The sequence below is a fragment of the Homo sapiens genome, chromosome 7 (genome assembly GCF_000001405.40).
Source record: "Homo sapiens chromosome 7, GRCh38.p14 Primary Assembly".
Classification (NCBI taxonomy): domain Eukaryota; kingdom Metazoa; phylum Chordata; class Mammalia; order Primates; family Hominidae; genus Homo; species Homo sapiens.
The window spans coordinates 48,535,088-48,557,738 of record NC_000007.14 but is presented as its reverse complement, the minus strand read 5'-3'; the positions used below and the strand labels follow the sequence as shown (position 1 = coordinate 48,557,738).

Below are 22,651 nucleotides of genomic sequence, written 5' to 3'. Positions count from 1 at the left end.
AAAAACCGTGATTACTTTTGCACCAAACAAATAGAACACCAAGCAGATTTAACCAAAAGAAGACTACTCTGAGCCATTTAATAATCAAACTCCCAAAGGTCAAGAATAAAAAAAGGATTCTAAAAGCAGCAAGAGAAAGGAAACAAATAACATACAATGAAGCTCCAATATGTCTGGCAGCAGACTTTCAGTGGAAACCTTACAGGCAAAAAGGGAATGGCAAGACATATTTAAAGTGTTGATAGAAAAAACTTTTATCCTACAAGAGTATATCCAGTGAAAATATCTATCAAACATGAAGGGAAAAAAAAAGACTTTCCCAGTCAAAGAAAAGCCGAATGATTTCATCAATAACAGACCTGTCCTACAAGAAATGCTAAAAACATTTGTTCAATCTGAAAGAAAAGGTTGTTCATGAGCAATAAGAAATTATCTGAAAGTGTAAAGCTCACTGGTAATAGTGAGCACACAGAAAAATACAGAATATTATAATACTGTAATTGTGGTGTGTAAACTACTCTTATCAAGTAGAAAGACTAAGTGATGAACCCAATCAAAAATAATAACTACAATAACTTTTGAAGACATAGATAGTACAAAAAACTTAAAGAGAAACAAAAAAAGTTAAGAAGCTGGAGGACAAGATTAAAACCTAGAGTTTTTAGTAGTTTCCTTTTGCCTGTTTGTTTATGCAATCACTGTTAAGTTGTCATCAATTTAAAATAGTGGGTTATACAATAGTATTTGCAAGCTTCACGGTAACTCAAATCAATGAACATACAACAGATAAACAACAAAATAAAAAGCAGAAAATTAAATCATACAACCAGAGAAAATCATCTTCAATAAAGGAATAAAAGAAAGATGAGAAGATGCCAAAACAAACAGAAAACAATAACATAGCAGGAGTAAATCCTTTTTTATCAATAATATTGAGTGTAAGTTGACAAAACTCTCCAATCAAAAAACAGAGTGGCCAAATGAAAAAAAATGTACAAGACTCAATGATCTGCTGCCTACAAGAAATACATTTTTCCTATAAAAATACACATAGACTGAAAATAAAGGGATGGAAAAACTATATTCCATGCAAATGGAAACCAAAATGTAGCATGAGTAGCTATATTTATATCAGACAAAATGGATTTCAAGACAAAATCCATAAGAAGAGACAAAGAAGGTCATTACATCACGATAAAAGGGTCAATTCAGCAAGAAGGTAAAACAATTGTAAATATTTATGTACCCAACACAGGAGCACTCAGATATATAAAGCAAATATTATGAGAGATAAAGAGAGAGATAGACCTCAATATAACAATACCTGGGGACTTCAATGCCCCACTTGCAGCACTGAACAGATATTATAAACAGAAAATCAACAAAGAAACATTGGACTTAATCTGTACTATAGAACAAATGGATCTAACAGATACTGCAGAACCTTTCCCTCCACAGCTTCAGAATATATATTCTCCTTCTCAGCACGTAGATCACTGTCAAGGAAAGAACATACATGAGATCACAAAACAAATCTTAAAAGATTCAAAAACTTTGAAATAATAACAAATATCTTCCCTGACCACAAGAGAATAAAGCTAGAAATCAAGAACAAGAAGAATTTTGGAAATTACAGAGACACATGGAAATTAAACAATATGATCACAAATAACCAGTAGATTAGTAAAGAAATTAAGAAAGAAATTGAAAAATTTATTTAAATGCTAATGAGAGCACAACATACCAAAATCTATGAAATACAGCAAAAGCAGTACCAAGAAGAAAATTTATAGCTATAAATGGCTACAACAAAAAAGAAGAAAAATGTCAAATAAAGAACCTAATAATCATATTAAAGAACTAGAAAAGCAAGAGCAAACCAAACCCAAAATTGGTAAAAAATAAATAAAGATTAAAACAGAAATAAATGAATGTGAAATAAAGAAAATAATATAAACGATCAATAAAATAAAAATTTGTTTTTTGAAAAGATAAATAAAATTGACAAACCTGTAGCCAGACTGAGAAAAAAAGAGGGAAAACCTAAATAAATAAAATCAGAGATGAAAAAGGAGAAATTACAACTGATACCACAGCAATTCAAAGGATCATTAGTGGCTACTATATGCCCATAAATGGAAAATCTAGAGGAAATGGATAAATTCCTAGACACATACAACCTACCAAGATTGAACCATGAAGAAATTCAAAATCTGAACATGTGAATAACAAGTAACAAGATTGAAGCCATAATAAAATATCCCAGCAAAAAATAAAGCCTGGGACCCAATGATTTCACTGCTGAATTCTACCAAATGTTTAACAAATTAATACCAATCCTACTCAAACTATTCTGAAAAGTAGAAGAGGAGAGACTACTTCCAAACTCAATCTATGAGGCCAGTATTACCTTAATACCCACATCAGACAATATATCAAAAAAAGAAAACTATGTGCCAATATCTCTGATGAATGTTGATGCAAAAATCCTCAACAACATACAAGCAAACTGAATTCAACAATGAATTAAAAAGATCATTCATCATGACCAAGTGAAATTTATCCTAGGGATGTAAGGATGTTTCAACATATACAAATCAATCAATGTGATACATCATAACAACAGAATGAAGGATAAACACCATATAATCATTTCAATTGATACTGAAAAAGTATTCAGTAAATTCAACATCCCTTTATGATTAAAAACCCTCAAAAAACTGGGGAACATCCCTTAACATAATAAAAGTCATATACAACAGACCCACAGCTAGTATCACACTGAATGAGGGAAAACCTGAAAGCCTTTCCTCTAAGATCTAAAACACAACAAGGACACCTTCACCACTGTTATTTAACATAGTACTGGAACTTCTAGCCAGAGCAATCAAATAATAATAATAATAATAATAATAAATAATAATAATAAAGGGCATCCACACTAGAAAGGAAGAACTCAAATTATCCTTGCTGCAGATAATATTATCTTATATTTGAAAAAAATCTAAACACTCTAGCACAAAAAACTACTAGAACTGATAAACAAATTAAAGTTTCAAGATACAAAATCAACATACAAAAATCAGTAGCATTTCTACATGACAACAGTGAACAATCTGAAAAAGAAATCAAGAAAGTAATCCCATTTAATATAACCACAAATAAGATTAAATATCTAGAAATTAACCCAACCAAAGAAGTGAGAGATCTCTACAATAAAAATGGCAAAACATTGGTGAAAGAAATCAAAGAAGGAATAAAAAAATGGAAAGATATTCCATATTCATGAATTGGAAGAATCAATATTGTTAGAATATCCATATTTCCCAAAACAATCTACAGATTCAATACAATCCCTATCAAAATACCAATGGCATTCTTACAGAAATAGAGAAAACAACCCTAAAATTTATATGAAACCACAAAAGACCCAAAATAGACAAAGCTATCCTAAGCAAAAAGAACAAAACTAGAGGAATCACTTTACCTGACTTCAAAATATACTACAGAGCCATAGTAACCAAAACAGCATGGTACTGGCATAAAAACAGGCACATAGGCCAATGCGACAGAATAGAAATCCCAGAAACAAATCCATACACCCATAGGAAATTCATTTTTGACAAAGGTGTCAAGAACATACATTCAGAAGAAGATGGTCTTCAATAAATGGTTCTGGGAAAACTGGATATCCATATGCAGAGGAATGAAACTAGACCCCTATTTTCTCATCATATAAAAAGGTAAAACCAAACGAATGAAAGAATTAAATCTAACACCTCAAAATATGAAACTATTACTTGAACAGTTACTATTACTATTACTTTGGAAAACTCTCCAGGACATTGGTCTGGGCAAAAATTTCTTGAGTAATACCCCACGAACACAAGTGATCCAAAGCAAAAACAGACAAATGGGATCACATCAAGTTAAAAAACTTCTGCACTGGAAAAGAAATAACCAACAAAGTGAAGAGACAGCCCAAAGCATGGGAGAAAATATTTGCAAACTATCCATCTGAAAAGGGATTAGTAACCAGAATACATAACAAGTTCAAACAGATATACAGGAAAAATCTAATAATTTGATTTAAAAATGGGCAAAAAATCTGAATAGACATTTTGCAAAAGAAGGCATACAAATGACAAACAGGTATACGAAAAAGTTCCCAACATCACTCATCATCAGAGAAATGCAAACCAAAACTACAAAAAGATATCTCACCCCAGTTAAAATGGCTTTTATCCAAAAGACAGGCAACAAGCAACAAATGCTAGAGAGGATGCAGAGAAAAGGGAACCCTCATACACTGTTAGTAGGAATGTAAATTGGTAGTCACTATGGAGAAAAGTTTGGAAGTTCCTCAAAACTAAAAATAGAGCTACCAAAGGACCTAGCAATCTCACTCCTAGGTATATACCCAAAAGAAAGGAAATCAGCATGTAAAAGGGATATCTGCACTCCCACATTTATCACAGCACTGTTCACAATAGGTAAGATTTGGAAGTAACCTAAGTGTCCATCAGCAGATGAATAGATAAAGAAAATGTGGCACATATACACAGTGGAGTGCTATTCAGCCATAAAAGAGAATCCCATTATTTGCAACATGTATGGAACTGGTGGTCATTGTGTTAAGTGAAATAAACCAAGTACAGAAAGACAAACTTCATATATTCTCACTTATTTGTGGGAGCTAAAAATTAAAACAATTGAATTCATGGAGAAAGAGAATAGAAGGATAGTTACCAGAGGCTGGGGAGGGTAGTGGGTGTGTAGGGAGGGAAGTGGGGATGATTAATGGGTACAAGAAGTAGTTGTAAAGAATGAATAAGACCTAGTATTTTATAGCATAACAGTCAATAATAACTTAATTATACATTTTAAAATAACTAATAGTATAATTGGATTGTTATAACAAAAAGGATAAGTGTTTGAGGGGGCAGATACCCCATTTGTCATGATGTGATTATTATGCACTGTACGCCTATATCAAAGTATCTCATGTACCCCATAAATATATATAACCCTTATGTACCAACAAATATTAAAAATTAAACAACTTAAATCATAACATTACTTTGTACCCCGTAAATATATACAATTATAATTTGTCAATACATATTTTTTTCTAAAAAAAAAAAAGGCAACAAAGGTGAGGAACAATGCTCCTACAATACAAAGGAAGTACAAAGTAAAACCTTGCTAAAAACCAAGACTGAACTAAGACCTATACATTTCTATTCAACCTATGTTGTAGGTCCAAATTCTGTATCCAACCACCACCAAAGTAAGCAGAGAGAATTCTACTGTCCATTGCTGTTGATCAACATCAACTTAATAAAAAGTTTACATTTTCTTAGATGAGTAAAACAACATCCTCTAAAAATAAACAGTGGAAAAGGAACAAAATCTCTAAGATTCAGCAAAACATGTATCTGAATATTAAGGAAAGACACTGGTATTTCCAGAAGAATGCAAGATGAAGCAGCCTCAATGAAATAGAAACATAAAACCCAAGGAAAGGAATGTCTGAGATAAAATTGTAACTTTTTTTTTAAGGCCCTCCAGAATGAGAACAACAGGTTAATAGGTTAAAATTAGTAAGGACTGCAAGGAAACCAAAATTATTTTCTTAAATTAAAAACAAAACTATGAATAAAGGCTAAAAGGACAAATGAAAATACTACTAAGCCTTGATGATTTGACAAGGAGTTTAATGGGTTTTGTTTTCTTGCTTTTTTTGGTTAACTTCAGAGGAAAGAACATAAAACATGTAAATATCTGAACAAGAATCAAAGTGAGGCTGCCTTGGACCTCTCCATTGCATGCTGACTGTCAGAAGACAGTAGGATAATGCCCAGAGTCTGGTGAGAAAATGTGTGACCTTAGAATGGCATGTGCATTCTTGTCTTTCAGAAGGGAAGGCTGAAACCTACTCTCTGGTAGTCAGGGAATCAGGACAGGGAATCTCTCACTGCAGTCATCCTTTGTTACAAAAATAAAACACAACTAAGATTAATTTTACCAAACTGGGAATTAAGCATTATTATAATGAATGAAAAAGTTGGTGGTCAGTAGAAACAAATTAAAACAGACATATATCTTAAAAAAAAAAAAGAGTGCAATACATACGAATTTATTTGAAAAGAAAAAATAATAAAGTAATAACCTAAAAGCAGTCTAAATCTAAAATCAAAGAACATTATCAAGACTGAAGAGAAAAAGGACAGATCTAATAATCCTTAGATTTATGTGTCTGTAACTCAAAAATATTTCACTATTGATTCTGGAAATTCAAATTTTTGAAAAATTCAAAGGAATACAACATAATCACATGGGATTATAGTGGCAATGCAAAAGTGGTTTTAATTAATCTAGACATCTAATTAAAGATGAAGTTTAAATGTACATTTTACTTTTATTGCCTCACCAAATTCTATCAAAATGATAGCTCACTCTATAGTGAACAGTCAGTAAGCCCTAGCCATATACCAAGGGTTTTCATTAAGGATTTTAATGCTCACATATTAAGTAGGAGTAGACAATCACAAAACATTAGCTATTTGAAGGAAATATATGACATGAACAATACAAAAACAAACAAAAAACTCCAGAAAATTCAGGTAGCTGAAACAATGCAGATAAACTAATTTAAAAGAAAAATACATCAATATTTAAAGAAAAAATGATTTATTTAGATATTGCATTTCTAAAAAGTAGGATGCCATTTTTTTCATAAATAAGTCAAGAGAGAAAAAATAATTCTTGAAATATTTAGAAATATGACTAAAATAGAATGCTCAGTAAAGAGCTGGAAGGTAAAAAAAATTTTCAGTTGGCCTCTATTAGTCTTATCTGTAAAATTATTAAAAACAGTATCTGCCTGGGATGACAGTTGGTGCACACTGATAGTGTGGGGAGGTGACATAACATGGATGACCTGTGCAGGTCTGCCAAGCAGATGGATGGATGGATGGACGGATGGATGGACAGACGGATGGATAGATTAAAAAGATAGATAGATGAGATAGATAGGTATGTAGGTACGTAGATAGATAAATAGATGGATTCACAGTATTATTCAGCCAGTGGCATCATCCACTGAAAAAAGAAGAATAAACAACAACACACACATAAATTAAGAGATTTGTTACTCAAAGATAAAAAAGAAAGTAGAGACCAGGCTTGGTGGCTCACGCCTGTAATCCCAGCACTTTGGGAGGCTGAGGGGGGGCGGATCACTTGAGGCCAGGAGTTCAAAACCAGCCTGGCCAACATGATGAAACCCCGTCTCTACTAAAAATACAAAAATTAGCCAGGTATGGTGGCAGGCGCCTGTACTCCCAGCTACTCTGGAGGCTGAGACATGAGAATCATTTGAATCAGGTTGGGGAGAGGTTGCAATGAGCTGACATCGCACCACTGCAATCCAGCCTGGGCAACAGAGCGAGACTCCATTTCCAAAAAAAAGAAAAATAGAGACTTCAAAGAGTTTGGTAAAGAAGAAAATATATGAAACGCAGAATTTTCTATAAAAATAAATATTCAGCTACTTTGTGGTAAGCATAGGACAGAAATGTTAGCTATGCTTCATCTGCCTATGAAGACTTCATGACTAAAACACCAAAAGCAATGGCAACAAAATTCAAAATTGACAAATGCGGTTTAATTAAACTAAAGAGCTTCTGCACAGCAAAAGAAACTAGCATCAGACTGAACAGGGAACCTAAAGAATGGGAGAAAATTTTTGCAATCTACCCACCTGACAAAGGTCTAATATCCAGAATTTTCAAGGAACTTAAACAAATTTACAAGAAAGAAACAAACAATCCCATCAAAAAGTGGGCAAAGGATATGAACAGACATTTCTCAAAAGAAGACATTCAACTGGCCAACAAACATGAAAGAAGCTCAACATCACTGATCCTTAGAGAAATGTAAATCAAAACCACAATGAGATACCATCTCACGTCAGTCAGAATGGTGATTATTAAAATGTCAGGAAACAATACATGCTGGTGAGGCTGTGGAGAAATAAAATCGCTTTTATACTGTTTGTGGGAATGTAAATTTGTTCAACCATTGTGGAAGACGTGTGGTGATTCCTCAAAGATCTAGAACCAGAAATATCATTTGATCCAGCAATCCAATTACTGGGTATATACCCAAAGGAAAATAAATCATTCTACTATAAAGACACATGCACACGTATGTTTATTGCAACACTATTTATGGTAGCAAAGACATGGAACCAACCCAAATGCCCATCAATGATAGACTGGAAAAAGAAAATGTGGTACATGTACTCCATGGAATACTATGCAGCCATAAAAAAGAACGAGATCATGTCCTTTTGCAGGGACATGGATGAAGCTGGAAGCCATCATCCTCAGCAAACTCATAAAGGAACAGAAAACCAAACACCACATGTTCTCACTCATAAGTGGAAGTTGAACAATGAGAACACATGGACACAGGGAGGGGAACAACACACACCTGGGCCTGTTGGCGGGTAGAGGGCAAGGGGAGGGAAAGCATTAGGACAAATACCTAATGCATGCAAGGCCTAAAACCTAGATGACAGGTTAATAGGTGCAGCAAACCACCACGGCATATGTATACCTAAGTAACAAACCTGCACATTCTGCACTTGTATCCTGGAACTTAAAGTAAATTTTTTTTAAAAAAAGTAAAGAAAAAATAATGACTCCTAAATAGGCTAGAGTTGTCTGGCTATAGGTTTACCAGGCAACCACCACCCATCTCTATTTTAATAGAGATGTAGTCAAGTTTCAATCTTAGAAAGAAGCTGAGAATAATCCTCCCTTCCTGTGTGAGTCAGTAGACTCACCTGTGCCTGGCACTGACAGGATTAGAGCTCCCCAGGTGTAAGGAGCATGTAGGGAACATAGAAGCTGTGCAAGCAAGGCATGCAGAAAACACCCTGGCATGAGGGAACCTGCACATTGCTCATGGTGGCTTAGTTTCTATGTAACGAGAGCAGCTGAAAGGGAGATAAGGTCTCCCAGTGAGGACTTCCCATGAAGCGCTAGGGAGCTCAAACAATATATTAACTAAAATTTGAAGATTGGAAGTCGACATGTGAACTCTCACACAGCTCAATACATAAGCCATAGCGTGAGGTTGCTTTTGACGTTTAACAATCTGTGGACAAAAAAAAAAAAAATGTGTTACATGCTGGTGTTTTTATCATCCTTCACTCCCAGTACTGTATTACATTAACTAAAGAAAATATGGTTTTATGTTGGCATAGCCTTAGAAAGAAAAATAGATTCTAGATTAACAAAGACTTCAACTCGGCTTTTATATTTAAATGTCTGAGAAAGAAAGCAATTCCTTCCAATATTCCTCTTCAGTGAAATTATCCCTTAATTAACAAAATGCTTAGGGACATTTCTCCGCCAGGGGACTTTCAGAAGTTTTCTAATACCACTGCGTAATGAAACAAAGACTGTACCCAAGATGATTTAATTATAGTGGCATATCGGGATAGGAATATAGAAATATATGTATTCCTATAGGATAAACAATATTTTCCAGTGAAAACTAACAAATGAAAATACTCGCTGTGTATGAGCAGTTAGCAGTTTGTTATATACAGAAGATATTTTCCACTAAAAAGAACATATTATCAGTTCTAGCTATGCATCAACCTTGTTGTTCTTGAAAAGACACAAAAGACATCGTGGATGACAGAAGCCACACCACAGGTAGTGTGTTAGCAAACAGGAAGTAAACATCAACAAGTAGCAAATACAAATGCTTCTCAACTTAGGATGGGGTTACATCCCAATAAACCTATTGTAAGTTTAAAATACTGTAAGTTGAAGATGCATTTATTGCACCTAACCTACCAAGCATCATCACTTATCCTAGCCTATCTTAAGTGTGCTCAGAACACTTACATTAGCCTACAGCTAGGCAAAATCATCTAACATAAAACCTATTTCATAATAAAGTCCTGAATATCTCAAGTAATTTAGTAAATACTGTACTGAAAGTGAAAAGAATGATTGTATGGGTACCCAAAGTATGGTACTCACTGAAATGTGTATCATTTTTACACCAGTGTAAAGTTGGGACATCACGGACCATGTGTGCAGAGGAGTGAGCATCTTCAGTGTGAAATTAAGAACACCTCTGCACATACTGTATTCTGGGTGCTCCCCATGGAAGCCTGAGGCAGCAAGCAGCAGGGAAACCCATCTAATACAGATCTACATGGGGCCGACTGAAGTCAATGCTTGTGGCTAAATACAGATGCTTTCTGCTAGTTTGCACATTCTGCCATATCTTAGACATAGCATGGAAGAGGCAGCATTTTCTTTCACAGAATAAGACTTTTTCAGCTAAGAGATACTTTGTTCCAGGGAAGGGAAATTCAAATGAGAATATAACTATGTAATAGAGAAATGACTCAGTACATGCTGGCATAGAAAACCAGTGGAATACAAGGTAGGCATTAATGTGAAGACTGTGCAGCAGTTCTGAAAACATTTTGATATGATGATGTAAATTTAAAAACTGAATGAAATGAATGAAAAAAATATACACTGTATATGAGCATTTTTGTGTATATGTACATGCAAGCATGTGTACATGCAGACAGATAATTGATACATACAAACATAGAGGCACAGTTAGACCATTTTTTTAAACTGGTGTCTGCAAGAATAAAAATCACTTTGATGTAAAATTAGAGAGGACTTTCTTTCATTGTTTTCCTAGGTTAGTATTGTTAAATTGTCATTTAATTTTAAATGGAGAAAATTAAATTGTCAACTAGTTGCTAGTTGGTGAGGTTATGATTCAAACTACTCTAATTTGTGATTCATATTAGTCTAAAGGAAGATGAAACATTTAAAAGCAATAAATGAGTTCCATGTCTTTTTGTATATATTGGTAGTGCATTGGTTTATATGAAGCACAGTAATTTATACATAAATTTTTAAGTATTATATACATAATACTTAGAATTTTGATGGTGTCATAGCACTTCATAGTTATTGTTCACATGAATTCTATGATACGGTCACTTAAAAAACGGGAAAACCTAAGGAAAAAACAGTTTATCCCAGTTGCATATATTAAAATGGAGCAAACTCAAAAAATGCTAGTTTGAAATGTGAAGAGAAAGGCTTTTGTCTTAAGAGTTTATATCCCGTTTATTATTTAATTGTCTGATAATCTAACACACGATCATAGCGCAAGATTTGGAAAGTACAGGAAGGATTAAGAAAAAATAAAACTTAACCTATAATTCTGTGTCTATATATAACAACTATTGACCTATTAATGCATTTTGATTCATTATGTTCTTTCATTTTACTGGATTCTGTTTATATTCTTGCTGTCAAGAAGTTGGTCTTTGGTCTAATTCATCACTGCCAAATTAAACTTTCTGCAACAATGAAAATGTTTTGTATCTGTGCTGCCTGAAACAGAAGGTTCTTGTACTCTTGAAATGTTGCTAGTGGCTGCTGAGAAAAAAATTATAATTTGATTTGATTTTAACATATTTACATTTAATTTTAGATGCTACAAGTGGCTAGTGGCTATTATTGTGAACAGATGCAGGTGTATTTCTTACTTTGTGGTGACCTGCCACCTTGTTTCTTTTAAGAGTTTGTTTTTGGAATTCTTGGTTTCAACACAAAGTGCCTAAGTATGAATGTCTCATTTATTATATTCAATAAATGTAATGTTTCTTCAATTGAAGGAAGCAACAGTCTTAACACTAGAAAATCCTCACCTATTATTTCTTCAAATGGTGCCTCTCTCCCATTGTCTCTATTCTTTTGTTCAGAAATCTAATTAGACTTATGTTAGACCTCTTTCTATCCTCCATATTTCACATAATTTCATTTTCATATTTTTTATTAGCAGTACATCATTTGTTTTTAACCCAACCATTGTTTTTCTTTTTAATAGCCACAGTTTTTAATCTTAGTACTTTTTTTTTCAAATCTATTCTCTCTCATATCATGGTACTTCTTACATTTTCTTTGTGATTGTAGTTCTCTTACATTACATTCTTTGTGTGCCAATTCTCCTTTTTGTGATAGCCATTAATTTATCTATATAGTAGATAGTTGTCTTGTGTGTTTTGTAATGTTTGTTTAGTCACTCCACTTTAATGGGCTCTTGAAAAAAAATGATATATGAGCTGTGAGACCATCCTTGCAAAGATTTGTGTTTTCTTCTTAAAAGTGCCCATGGGTATCATCAAACTGAGGTCAATGTTTATGTTATATTCTTGGGTAGGGGGAGTTGTGGTTCTCAGATCACAGGTAGTCAAATTTAAACTCCCACAATTCTAGGAGTTTCAGTTCTAGGGTATAAGCTCAGGTTTTCAAAATTCCAGGGGAGATTTTTTTCTTTTCACCTCTAATCCTAGACAGAAATTAATGTTTTCCTATTATCTTTCTATGCCAGTAGAAGGTCTTTTCTAGATCCTACCCCTTCAGTAAGGATGCAGCCTTTCAACGATCCTAGCTTTATACAGAGTTTCAGTTCAATGCTTCTCCACATGCAGAGCTGCAGTCATAGCTCTTGCACCATCAGGGACATTAAAACCTATGCCTCCAAATCAGAAATTTACATATGCTTTGCCCCTTTCTTAGGTGGCAACACAAGCAATTACTCTGGAATGAAAGTGTGAAAACTCTGTTTTTCCTCTGCTCTCACACCACAACAATCAACACAAGACTTCTGTGACCAAATGTGTGGGGATTTCTCCCCACCAACAATCAAGCAATCATTTCTGCAGCAGACACCAGCTGAATGTTCTCTAGTTCAGTTCTATTCTGACCCTATCTGCCTGCAGACATAATCAGATCCCACAAGTTGAGGGCTCAGTCCCCAAGACCGCTCCCTTTCAGATGCCAGTCACAAGCCTCAGGTTGTTTTACCTGAGCTTCTGACCTTTTGGGATCGGCCAGGGATCCTATGACCCTCTTCTTGGGTTTGATTAATTTGCTAGAATGGCTCACAGAACTCAGGGAAACACTTATTTGCATTTACCAGTTTATTACAAAGACTATTACAAAAGATAGAAATGAAAAGATGTATAAGGGAAAGCATGTGGGAAGGGGTATGGAGCTTCCATCCCTCTCTGGGAACCACCCTCCAGGAACTATCAAGTGTTCAGGTATCCAGAAACTCCCTGAACACAGTTTTGGGGGATTTTACAGAGCTTTTACAGAGGCATGGTTGAATAAATCGTTGGTCATTTGTGATCAACTTAACCTTCAGCGTCTCATCATCCCCTGAGATTGAGGGGTGTGGCTGGAAGTCCCAACCCTGTAATCCTGCCTTGGTCTTTCTGGTGACCAGCCCCATCCTGAAGTGACCTAGAGGCTGCCAGCGCCATAAATCATTAGCATAAAAATTACATCAGTTTGGACATTCCAAGAATTTTAGGAGTTGTAGGCTTGGAAATGGGTCTAAGACAAAAATATATATTGCACAGTATCACATCAGGTTTGTTGGTTTCTTCTTTTATGGCACCTGGAAATTTCCCTCCTTTCTTGTGACCTCAGATAGGTACTAATATAATCGTTTTAGATAATTCTTATCTAGTAATGAGAGCATTTTCAAGTTATGCTAATCTTCCATTTTAATATATTTAATATTATTTTAAATGATTTTGCACCAACATTTTGTAATTAATGTAATTGTTAAATATATAGGAACAATACCTTCTCAATTATTTACTAGAATAAATATATTTTCATTTAAACCTTTATCCAAGTTTCTGTTATCTCCCTAGGCACAAATTTCCCAGAAGGAAAATTATTAGCCCAAGTATTTTTTATATATATTGCCATGCTTAACTCCAGTAAAATTATGATTTATATTCCAAAGATAAGCATATAACAGTGTCCACTTTACTATACCTTCATGAAATTGTGCACTACATTTTAGTTGTTTATAATGATTAAAAATATATATGTATCTGTTGTTTGTTTTGCATTTTTATATTAATGATGGCAACTATTTTTAAAATGTTTATTAACCATTCACTTTCATATTGTGTTTAATGCTTAAGTCTTATGCCTATTTTTTATTTTTTTTATTTTTTACTTTTTTGAGATGGAGTCTCCCTCTGTTGCCCAGGCTGGAGTGCAACGGTGCGATCTCGGCTCACTGCAACCTCCGACTCCTGGGTTCAAGCGATTCTCCTGCCTCAGCTTCCCGAGTAGTTGGGATTACAGGTGCCCACCACCATGCTCAGCCAATTTTTGTATTTTTAGTAGAGACAGGATTTCACCATGCTGGCCAGGCTGGTCTCGAACTCCTAACCTCAGTCAATCTGCCTGCCTCGGCCTCCCAAAGTGCTAGGATTACAGGCGTGAGCCACCGTGCCCAGCTAGCCTATTTGTATTGTAATTGTAGTCTTTTCCTTATCACTATACAGTAATTTACATATTATACCTATTAATGCTTTGTCTTATTTGATCCTTGTTTTCAGCCTTTCAATTTTAATGTTTCGACTTACAGAAGAAATTTAAATTTCTATGTTTAAATATATCTGTATTTTCTACTGTAAATTTTACATTAATTTAATGTCTAAAAGAAATGTCCTTATTGAATAAACAATGTGTTTATTTGCCTTATTTCTAATTTTCTTTGAGGGATAGAAAATACCAATCTCAGGAAAATTTTGCAACTTCTTTTCCTTTTATCACTAATGTAAAATGTGTATACTACCTTTTTTATATTTTGATTTTCTCTTATCGATTAAGCAATCCAATTAGAAAGACATTATTTTATTACAAAGTCAATATAATGCACTGAAATATTTCTTAAGTCATTTAGCCATTATCAACCTATTCTTTTTGAAAAATGTCACGATTAGACCCATCTATTTATTCTTGTGTTTAAAACTTCAGAAATTCTGTGTAAAGCCTACTCTATTCTCTGCAATATCAATTGGAATTACATTAAATCTATAAAACTTGCTAGAGGAGAGTAATAGTAAGATGATTCAGCTTTTCCATTCAGCAACATGGTATTATCTTATTACTTATTTATTCTTTTATGCTGAAAACATCATCTACATTTTAACATATAGGTTGACCATATTTCCTTCTAAGGTTATTCATTACCTTGCATGTGTTTTTTTCTATTGTAATTGTTTTTCATATTATATAGCCTTGAATGTATTTATTATTTTTTCTGGCCACTTCAGTTGAAATTATTTCTTAATTGATCTTCTTGGGTATTTAAGTGTATGATGACACAAAAGATAATAATTAGCAGTATAAATACTCATACTATTTTTTAAACTATGTCTTATAGCAGGAACTTAAATTCCAGAAAATGCTAAATAATAATGTTGATCATGTTATTCTGTTTCTTATTTTAACAGGAATTACTCTAGTACTTCATAAATAAAAATGAAGAGTTGTATTTGTCATGTTTGTATGATAAACAGTCTTGTTTCTTGTGTTGATGACGTGAAACTCATTCTCCAAATATATTACACTTTGTAACTATTAGATAATTAAAGAGTTAAGGTCTCTTCCTTCCAACGTATCCTCTCATTCTCTTTCTGGTTTTCCCAACAGACTTTGCTTTACACCTTATCATTCTATGTCTTTCATATACAGAATTTCTTGACTGCAATGACTTCACATCAAAGAATGTATTTTATTTAGTAGTGTCTTTGCCTCATATGTACCTTTACTTGAATTATATATTTAAATGTTAACGTATTTATACAGTTTTGTTTTGTTTTCATTTGCATAATGGCCATTATTTTTAATTTCACTGTAATGGTGTGTTGTGTCATGTAAAAAAAAAAATACCTTTTTTAACCCAGTTTCTGAGTGTCTGATTTTTTAAGGAAAGATACTCCCAATAATATTTATTATAAAAATATGTGCCTGCTCTGTTATCTGTCAACTTTCCTTTTAAAATATATATATAGATATAACTAAGATATATATCATATGATATTTATATACATGATATTTTATATGTATATATATATCTCTTTTTCTTCTCCCTTTTAAAATATTTTATGTTCTGTCTCATTGATTGTGACTACTTTGTTTTCTCTAATAGTCAAAGGGTGGATAGGAACTGCATGTGATTTAGAGTTTCAAAAACTTGGATTCAAAGCTCCATCATGTTCTAGAAGTTTGACTTCCGGCAAGCCACTTAATTTTTCTGAATCTTAGATTCTTGTCAGTAAAATTAGGATAACAACCTCTTTGTCATTATAATTATCAAATAAGATCTAGAATGTAAAGCCCCTAACTTAATACTCGGCGAATAAGAGAGACACAGTAAATCATGGCTAATGAGATTAACATTTATGGTGTTCAGGAGCCACAAATTTCAATAATTTCAGATGTAATAGTCCAAGTAAATGTTTGATGGTGTCCATCAATAAGGCAACAAGCAATGGTGGCAACTGTGACAAACTGGAACCAACGCCAATCCAAATCCAAAATTTTAACACTATGCTGACCAAATAAAAATGCCACAGCCTTTCATATTTTAAGTAAATATCACAACATAAGATTTTCATCAGAAAACTTGTCTCCAATTTTTAGAGCCTTTTGTTAATCTTGCCACTACCTTAGCAGGACTTTAGTGTTCCAGATATGAGACTGCTAGTTTTAAGTCAAATAATTATTTATTCTTATGCCTGCTTCTCAACTGTGTTGATCAAATTCATAAAACAAATCTTAGTCTTAAATTCCTTACTTCACTTCCTTGTCTTCACTTCCTCTGGGACCTAGTCTATCATGCTGCAGCCTTGACAACTTGCCAAGACAAAAAGTTGAGAGTTACGATAGTAGGAAGAAGAGCTACAGAGAATAGAAAATAATAATAATAAAAATGCATGTGATTTCTGGCCTGAGACAACTATCAGTATATCAGGAGAACATGACATGCTCTGAGCCAAACTACAGTGGACAATTTTGAAATATATTTAGACATGTATTACTCTCAAGTTTGAAGATGTGCATTCATGGAGATTAGTAAATTAAACAGGAAAGTAAAAGAGCCCTGTTTTAGATAATATAACCTCAAAGAAGAGACAAAAATACCTTAATATATTGAATGAATGAGTAGATGTGTTTCAATTAGGTAGCAATAAGCTATGGGCTTCATGGGCAGGAAGGTACATTTCAACTCTCTAAGTAGTGAAAAATTCCATTGTGCTGCTAATTACCTATTTAATTCTTTGAATACCAATGTGCAATTAACATTACAAATAATCAAGGTTAAAATATAATTAATGCAAGCATGATTTAGTTATAATTAAACTAATTACACAGATATGGAGTATAATAAGGGACTTGCAGACCATTATTTGTATGTAAATTTATTCTTCTTTTCAAGAGTAGTTATTTGAATTTCATTTTCCAATTATTTTACAAATGATGAAATAGAATTACAAAGGAGAGAGTCAGTCTTCCAGGGATGAAGAAATAAACCTAATTTTGCTTTATAAGTTAAAATTCTTTTGTCTACATGTACTTGTAAATAGAGAAGTTAGAATTTTTTTTTTCAAAACCTACCTCCAAATTCAACAAAAATATCTTACTTCTTCTATGACTGCAGAGAAAAATCAAGGAAACACTTGAGAGAGATTCAATCCCATACAGCAGGATTTCCTTTCAGAGTAAGTAGTATCACAACTCTCTTTACACATACCAACCTCAAACACTTGCTCAACTAATAAATTTTCTCTACTTTCTGTTCTCAAACATAATTAGCTCTTAATGTTGAGTTTTCACCTATTGACATAGATTAACCCAAGTAAAACTGCATTATCTGCCGACAGACAGAAACAGATATAGCATGTAGCATTTGGAGCAAGATAGATTTGATTTCAGGTCTGCAATTTTCTTCATATAAGTTAGTTGCAGTTAAATGACAACAGCATGTCTGTTTCTGCACAAGGTGGATTTTATGTGGTATAGCATTGAACCTTCATTTAAACATTTGAGTTATTATTTCTAGTATATGGATGAAGAAATGACTAGAGGAGAATGTCGAGAGAATAAAAAAGGGAAATTCTAAGAAGTAAAAGAGATAACTAAGCACAAAGTGACACTTGTGATACATTCTAATTCTATCAGAATGAAGTCAGAATGATACAAGGAAACAAATACATGAAAACCTAATCTGTCACTTTCTGAGGACAGCTGAAAACCAATTGATTATTGTGAAAACTGGGTAAATAAATTCTGTCTCTTTTCCTGTATGAACTGTACCTCTGAGTAGCCAAATAAAAGACAGTTAAAGCATCTCTGTACAAAATTATCCAAACTAGTAAATGAAAACAAAAAGACTAGGTTAAAACATGACCATTTTGCAATGGATGAATTCACCTAAGCATTAAACATCAAAACTGCTAAAAGCAAAAAAAAAAAGACTAAAGACCAGCTATTATGTGCCTATTTTTTAGTTTTATATTTTAATATTTATTATTTTTACACAAGGTTATGAGATTGGCTAATTTTTGTATTTTTGGTAGAGACAGGGTTTCCCCATGTTTCCCAGACCGGTCTCAAACTCTGGGCTCAAGCAATTCGCCCGCCACAGCCTCCCAAAGTGCTAGGATTACAGGCATGAGCCACCTCACCTGGCCCAGACATTATGTGCCTCTTGATGAAAGAGAACATCATCTCCTGTTTAGTCATGCCAAAGGATTGAACCTGCGTCTAACTAAACCTCTGAATCCAGCTGCAATTGCAAGAAACAGAACAAATGAACATATTAAATTCCATCATCAGTATGCAGTCAGCAAAGTTTGTAGGCCAACTCACCATGTCCAACAGTTCAGGTTCTTCGACAGAGAGTTTGTAAAGAAATGAAAGGAATGGAGAAAGGACCTGTGAATTGAGTAACTTAAAGGCCCTATCAAGTATCTTACAAACATGCAAGATTAAACTATGGTGTCTAGGAATAGACTCTTGCGTAATGAATTCAAAAAAAATCATTTAAATGGAAGAGGTTGTATTTGGAATGGAGTACATAGAATGACTTATAAGTTAGCTACCAAAGTTCTACTTCTTGTCCTGAGTTTTGTTTACAAGATTGCCTTTAATAATACATTAAGTTGTATTAAAAACAAAAAAGATGCAAATAAGAGTTAACCTCAACAGGGATGTGATTAGATGGAATTTATGGGTTGGTGGTCTGGTTCTGTTTCTTGAGGTAGGTACAGATTATATAATTATATTCATTTTATGAAAAGTCATTGGATGTTCTTTTTCATATGTAAATTAAACTTCAAAAAAGTCTTTAAAATTATTTTGTAAAAATATTGAAGGAAGAAATAAGATAGGCTGGGCGCGATGGCTCACACCTGTAATCCCAGCTCTTTGGGAGGTCGAGGTGGGTGGATCACCTGAGGTCAGCAGTTCGAGACCAGCCTAGCCAACATGGTAAAACCCCATCTCTACTAAAAATACAAAATGTAGTCGGGTGCAGTGGCATGCGCCTGTAATCCCAGCTACTCAGGAGGCTGAGGCAGGAGAATCACTTTAACTCAGGAGGCAGAGGTTACAGTGAGCTGAGATCGCACCACTGCACTCCAGGCTGGGTGCTAGAGCAAGACTCCACCTCAAAAAAAAAAAAAAAAAAGGAAAGAAAGAAAGAAAAAAATAAGATAATGAGTATCTGAAAAAAAGCCTTCTAAAGTTTGATAAAAATACTATATTAAAATCATATATGTCATTGTTAAATACAGTGAGTTCTAAGTTTCTCTTCAAAGTATCAGTATGTCAGTATGTTCAGTTCTATGACCTTCATTTTAAAGTTTAACTTCCTTGTTCTCCTCATCTCCTTCCCCTAGTTTCAGTAAACAACCTCCCCACCAGTTGTAATCAGTAGTTCACAACTGTTTCCCTGGTCATCTGCTCAGTCCTGAGTCACCCCTGGTCACCTGCTCCATCCTGAGTCACTCCTGATCACCTGCTCTGTCCTGAGTCACCCCTGATCACCTGCTGCAACCTGAGTCACCCTTGGTCACCTGTTCTGACCTGAGTCACATTTAGTCATTTGTTCTGTAACCGTCTTTCCCACCAGAACTGCTCATCCCACCACTCTGGCTCGTAACCCTGCTCTCTTTAAAATAGCCAGTAGGAATTAGCTTAGACTGTGTGGTCCAACCCTAATCAATAGGGGAATGACACAGCAGTAGGGGCTACCTGCGTCAGGGATAAAAACTCCTTCCCCTCCCTTGTTCAGGTGTGCTCTCGCCATTGCTCCATCCGTGAGATGCATCCTTCTATAGAAGTAAAATTGCCTTGCTGAGAAAATTCATGTTCGAGTGCTACTTCCTTTGTGGCACTGAAAATGTATTTCTAACATCATTTAGAGAATAACAACAATACTATGATTTATTACATTTTTAGGATCAAGGTAAAAGCTGTACAAAAAGCATATTGGTAGTCCTCATAATTTGATTTTTTATTTTAAGATGAAAAACACAAAAAACACTTAAATCAAAAAGTTAGAAATAAAACAACAAAACTAGATTGAGAAAAGCATGGTGGGGGATTAAGAAGAATGACAAAGTTTGATAAATTTGAAAAGCAAAAATAATTTGAATTTCTAAATAAATTAATATTTCATCCTTTTAAAAATAAAAGTCAGAATCTGGAAAATATAACTTATAGAAATAAAACACAAATATACAGACACAGGTATAGGAAGGAAATACAAATTTTAGGAGAACCATAGTTATAATCCTATGTAAGTAATTTGCAATTTTAAATTAAATTAATGAGTTTCTAAGGAAACACAAATTGTCAAAATTACAAAAATGCAAAATAGTTAATAGCAAAAATTGAAAATGATGTTTTCAACAAATTAATTTTTCTTATGAATAATAAATATAAAATCTATATAGACTATTAGCATATGAAATTTAACAAAAATATTAAAAATCTAACAAAAATAAAATTTATTATGGAAAGCTAAGGATAGGTGGATAATCAACTACCTCTTATTTATAACAAATTTGTCAAAAGGAAAAGAACTATAAAATACATGCAACTTTATAAATGTTGAAGTTATAATTTTTTTTTTTTTTGAGATGGAGTCTCACTCTGTCACCCAGGCTGGGGTGCAGTGGTGTGATCTTGGCTCACTGCAACCTCCGCCTCCAGAGTTGACGTGATTCTCCCACTTCAGCCTCCTGAGTAGCTGGGATTACAGGCACACACCACCACGCCCACGTAATTTTTGTATTTTTAGTAGAGATGGGGTTTCACCATGTTGGCCAGGCTGGTCTTGAACTTCTGACCTCAGGTGATCCTCCCACCTCGGCCTCCCATAATGCTGGGATTACAAGTGTGAGCCACTGCACCTGGCCTTAAAGTGATAAATTTAAAATATTCTTGTAAGAACTTTTTATAAAATTGCCAACAAAATAATGTCTACATTAGATGAAAATTTGTAGATAATTTTCAATCCATCATTTCATAAATAGAAATATTACCATTAAATGAGAAAATGCATTGCCATTTAACATTGTTTTGATAGTTCTAAGGAAAGCAATAAGGAGAATTAGAATCAGAGATGTTACCATAGAGGGAAAGGAGGCAGGACTAGCCTGCAGCTCCTGCTCAGACAGCTGCATGTGAAGACTCATATCGTGAACTTTTGCTACAAGAATTACCCTAGGAACATACCAGGAAAGCTGAGAGAATCCACAGACCCTTTGAAGGAACTGGATCACTGCTGCTGGCTCAATGAGACATCGGAAAACCATGAGTCCATTTGCTTTCTCAGCAGGAAGGCTGAGTTCTCTGGGGCAAGTTCTCAGCCCTGGTCACCAACTGCCCAGAAATTGACTTGATGCTGTTGGGAGGGCCACGGTGGGAGTGAGACCTGTCTTTAGGACTGCAGGCTGTATGGCAGCGGGGTAAAGCCTGTGACTGCCGACTTACCCCACTTCCCTGGCAACCTGTGTGACTCAGCAGAGGCAGCCATAATCCCCTGAGGAACATAAATCCACTGGCCTGAGAACCACACACCCACCCCCACTGCCACCACAGCAAGCCCCACCAAAGGAGAGTCTGAGCTCAGACACACCTAACTCTGCCCCCATCTGATGGTCCTTCTCTACCTGCCCTGGTAGCTGAAGATAAAGCACATAATCTCTTGGGAACTCTATGGCCCCACCCACCACCTGATCCTTCTTCCACAAGGGCAGCCGATACACTCTTGAAAGCGCCACCTCCTGGCTGGAGGCCAACCAATGCAAAACCAGCACACTAAACAAAAATACAACCAAGGAACCTCAGAGTCCACTTCATTCCCCTGCTACCTCCACCTGAGCAGGTGCTGGTATCCACGGCTGAAAGACCTGAAGATGGATCACATCACAGGACTCTTTGCAGACACTCCCCAATACCATCCTGGAGCCTGGTAGCTCTGCTGGGTGGCTAAACACAAAAGGGTAAAAACAATCACTACAGTTGGGCTCTCAGGAAGCCCCATTCCTAGGGCAAGGGGAAGAGCACCACATGAAGGGAGCACCCTGTGGGACAAAAGAATCTAAACAGCAGCTAGAGTCCCAGATCTTCCCTCTGACATAGTCTACCCAAATGAGGAGGAAACCAGAAAAACAATTCCGGTAATATGACAA

At 34.7% G+C, this 22,651-nt stretch overlaps 1 protein-coding gene across 13 annotated transcripts in view, besides 1 other annotated feature; it reads right to left on the bottom strand.

The window, feature by feature from the left end:
* The window catches only part of ABCA13 (ATP binding cassette subfamily A member 13), a 476,040-nt gene that overhangs the window by 89,759 nt on the left and 363,630 nt on the right, over positions 1-22,651 (bottom strand). For 2 of the 13 annotated variants that reach the window (XM_047419920.1, XM_047419921.1), the window contains exon 56: positions 20,442-22,448. The exons of the other annotated variants lie outside the window; for them this stretch is intronic. In XM_047419920.1, the coding sequence (XP_047275876.1) occupies positions 22,316-22,448 (133 nt within the window). In that variant the 3' untranslated portion in view covers positions 20,442-22,315. Of the gene's footprint in view, positions 1-20,441; positions 22,449-22,651 lie in introns of those variants that run through there. 13 annotated transcript variants of the gene reach the window in all.
* Positions 19,364-20,563: an enhancer, noted in NCBI's record as "BRD4-independent group 4 enhancer chr7:48576772-48577971 (GRCh37/hg19 assembly coordinates)". NCBI's record gives its function as "activates an origin of replication core promoter dependent on BRD2, P300/CBP, MED14 and CDK7 cofactors, and independent of BRD4, by STARR-seq in HCT116 cells {active_cell/tissue: HCT116}" and the evidence as "EXISTENCE:reporter gene assay evidence [ECO:0000049][PMID:35650434]".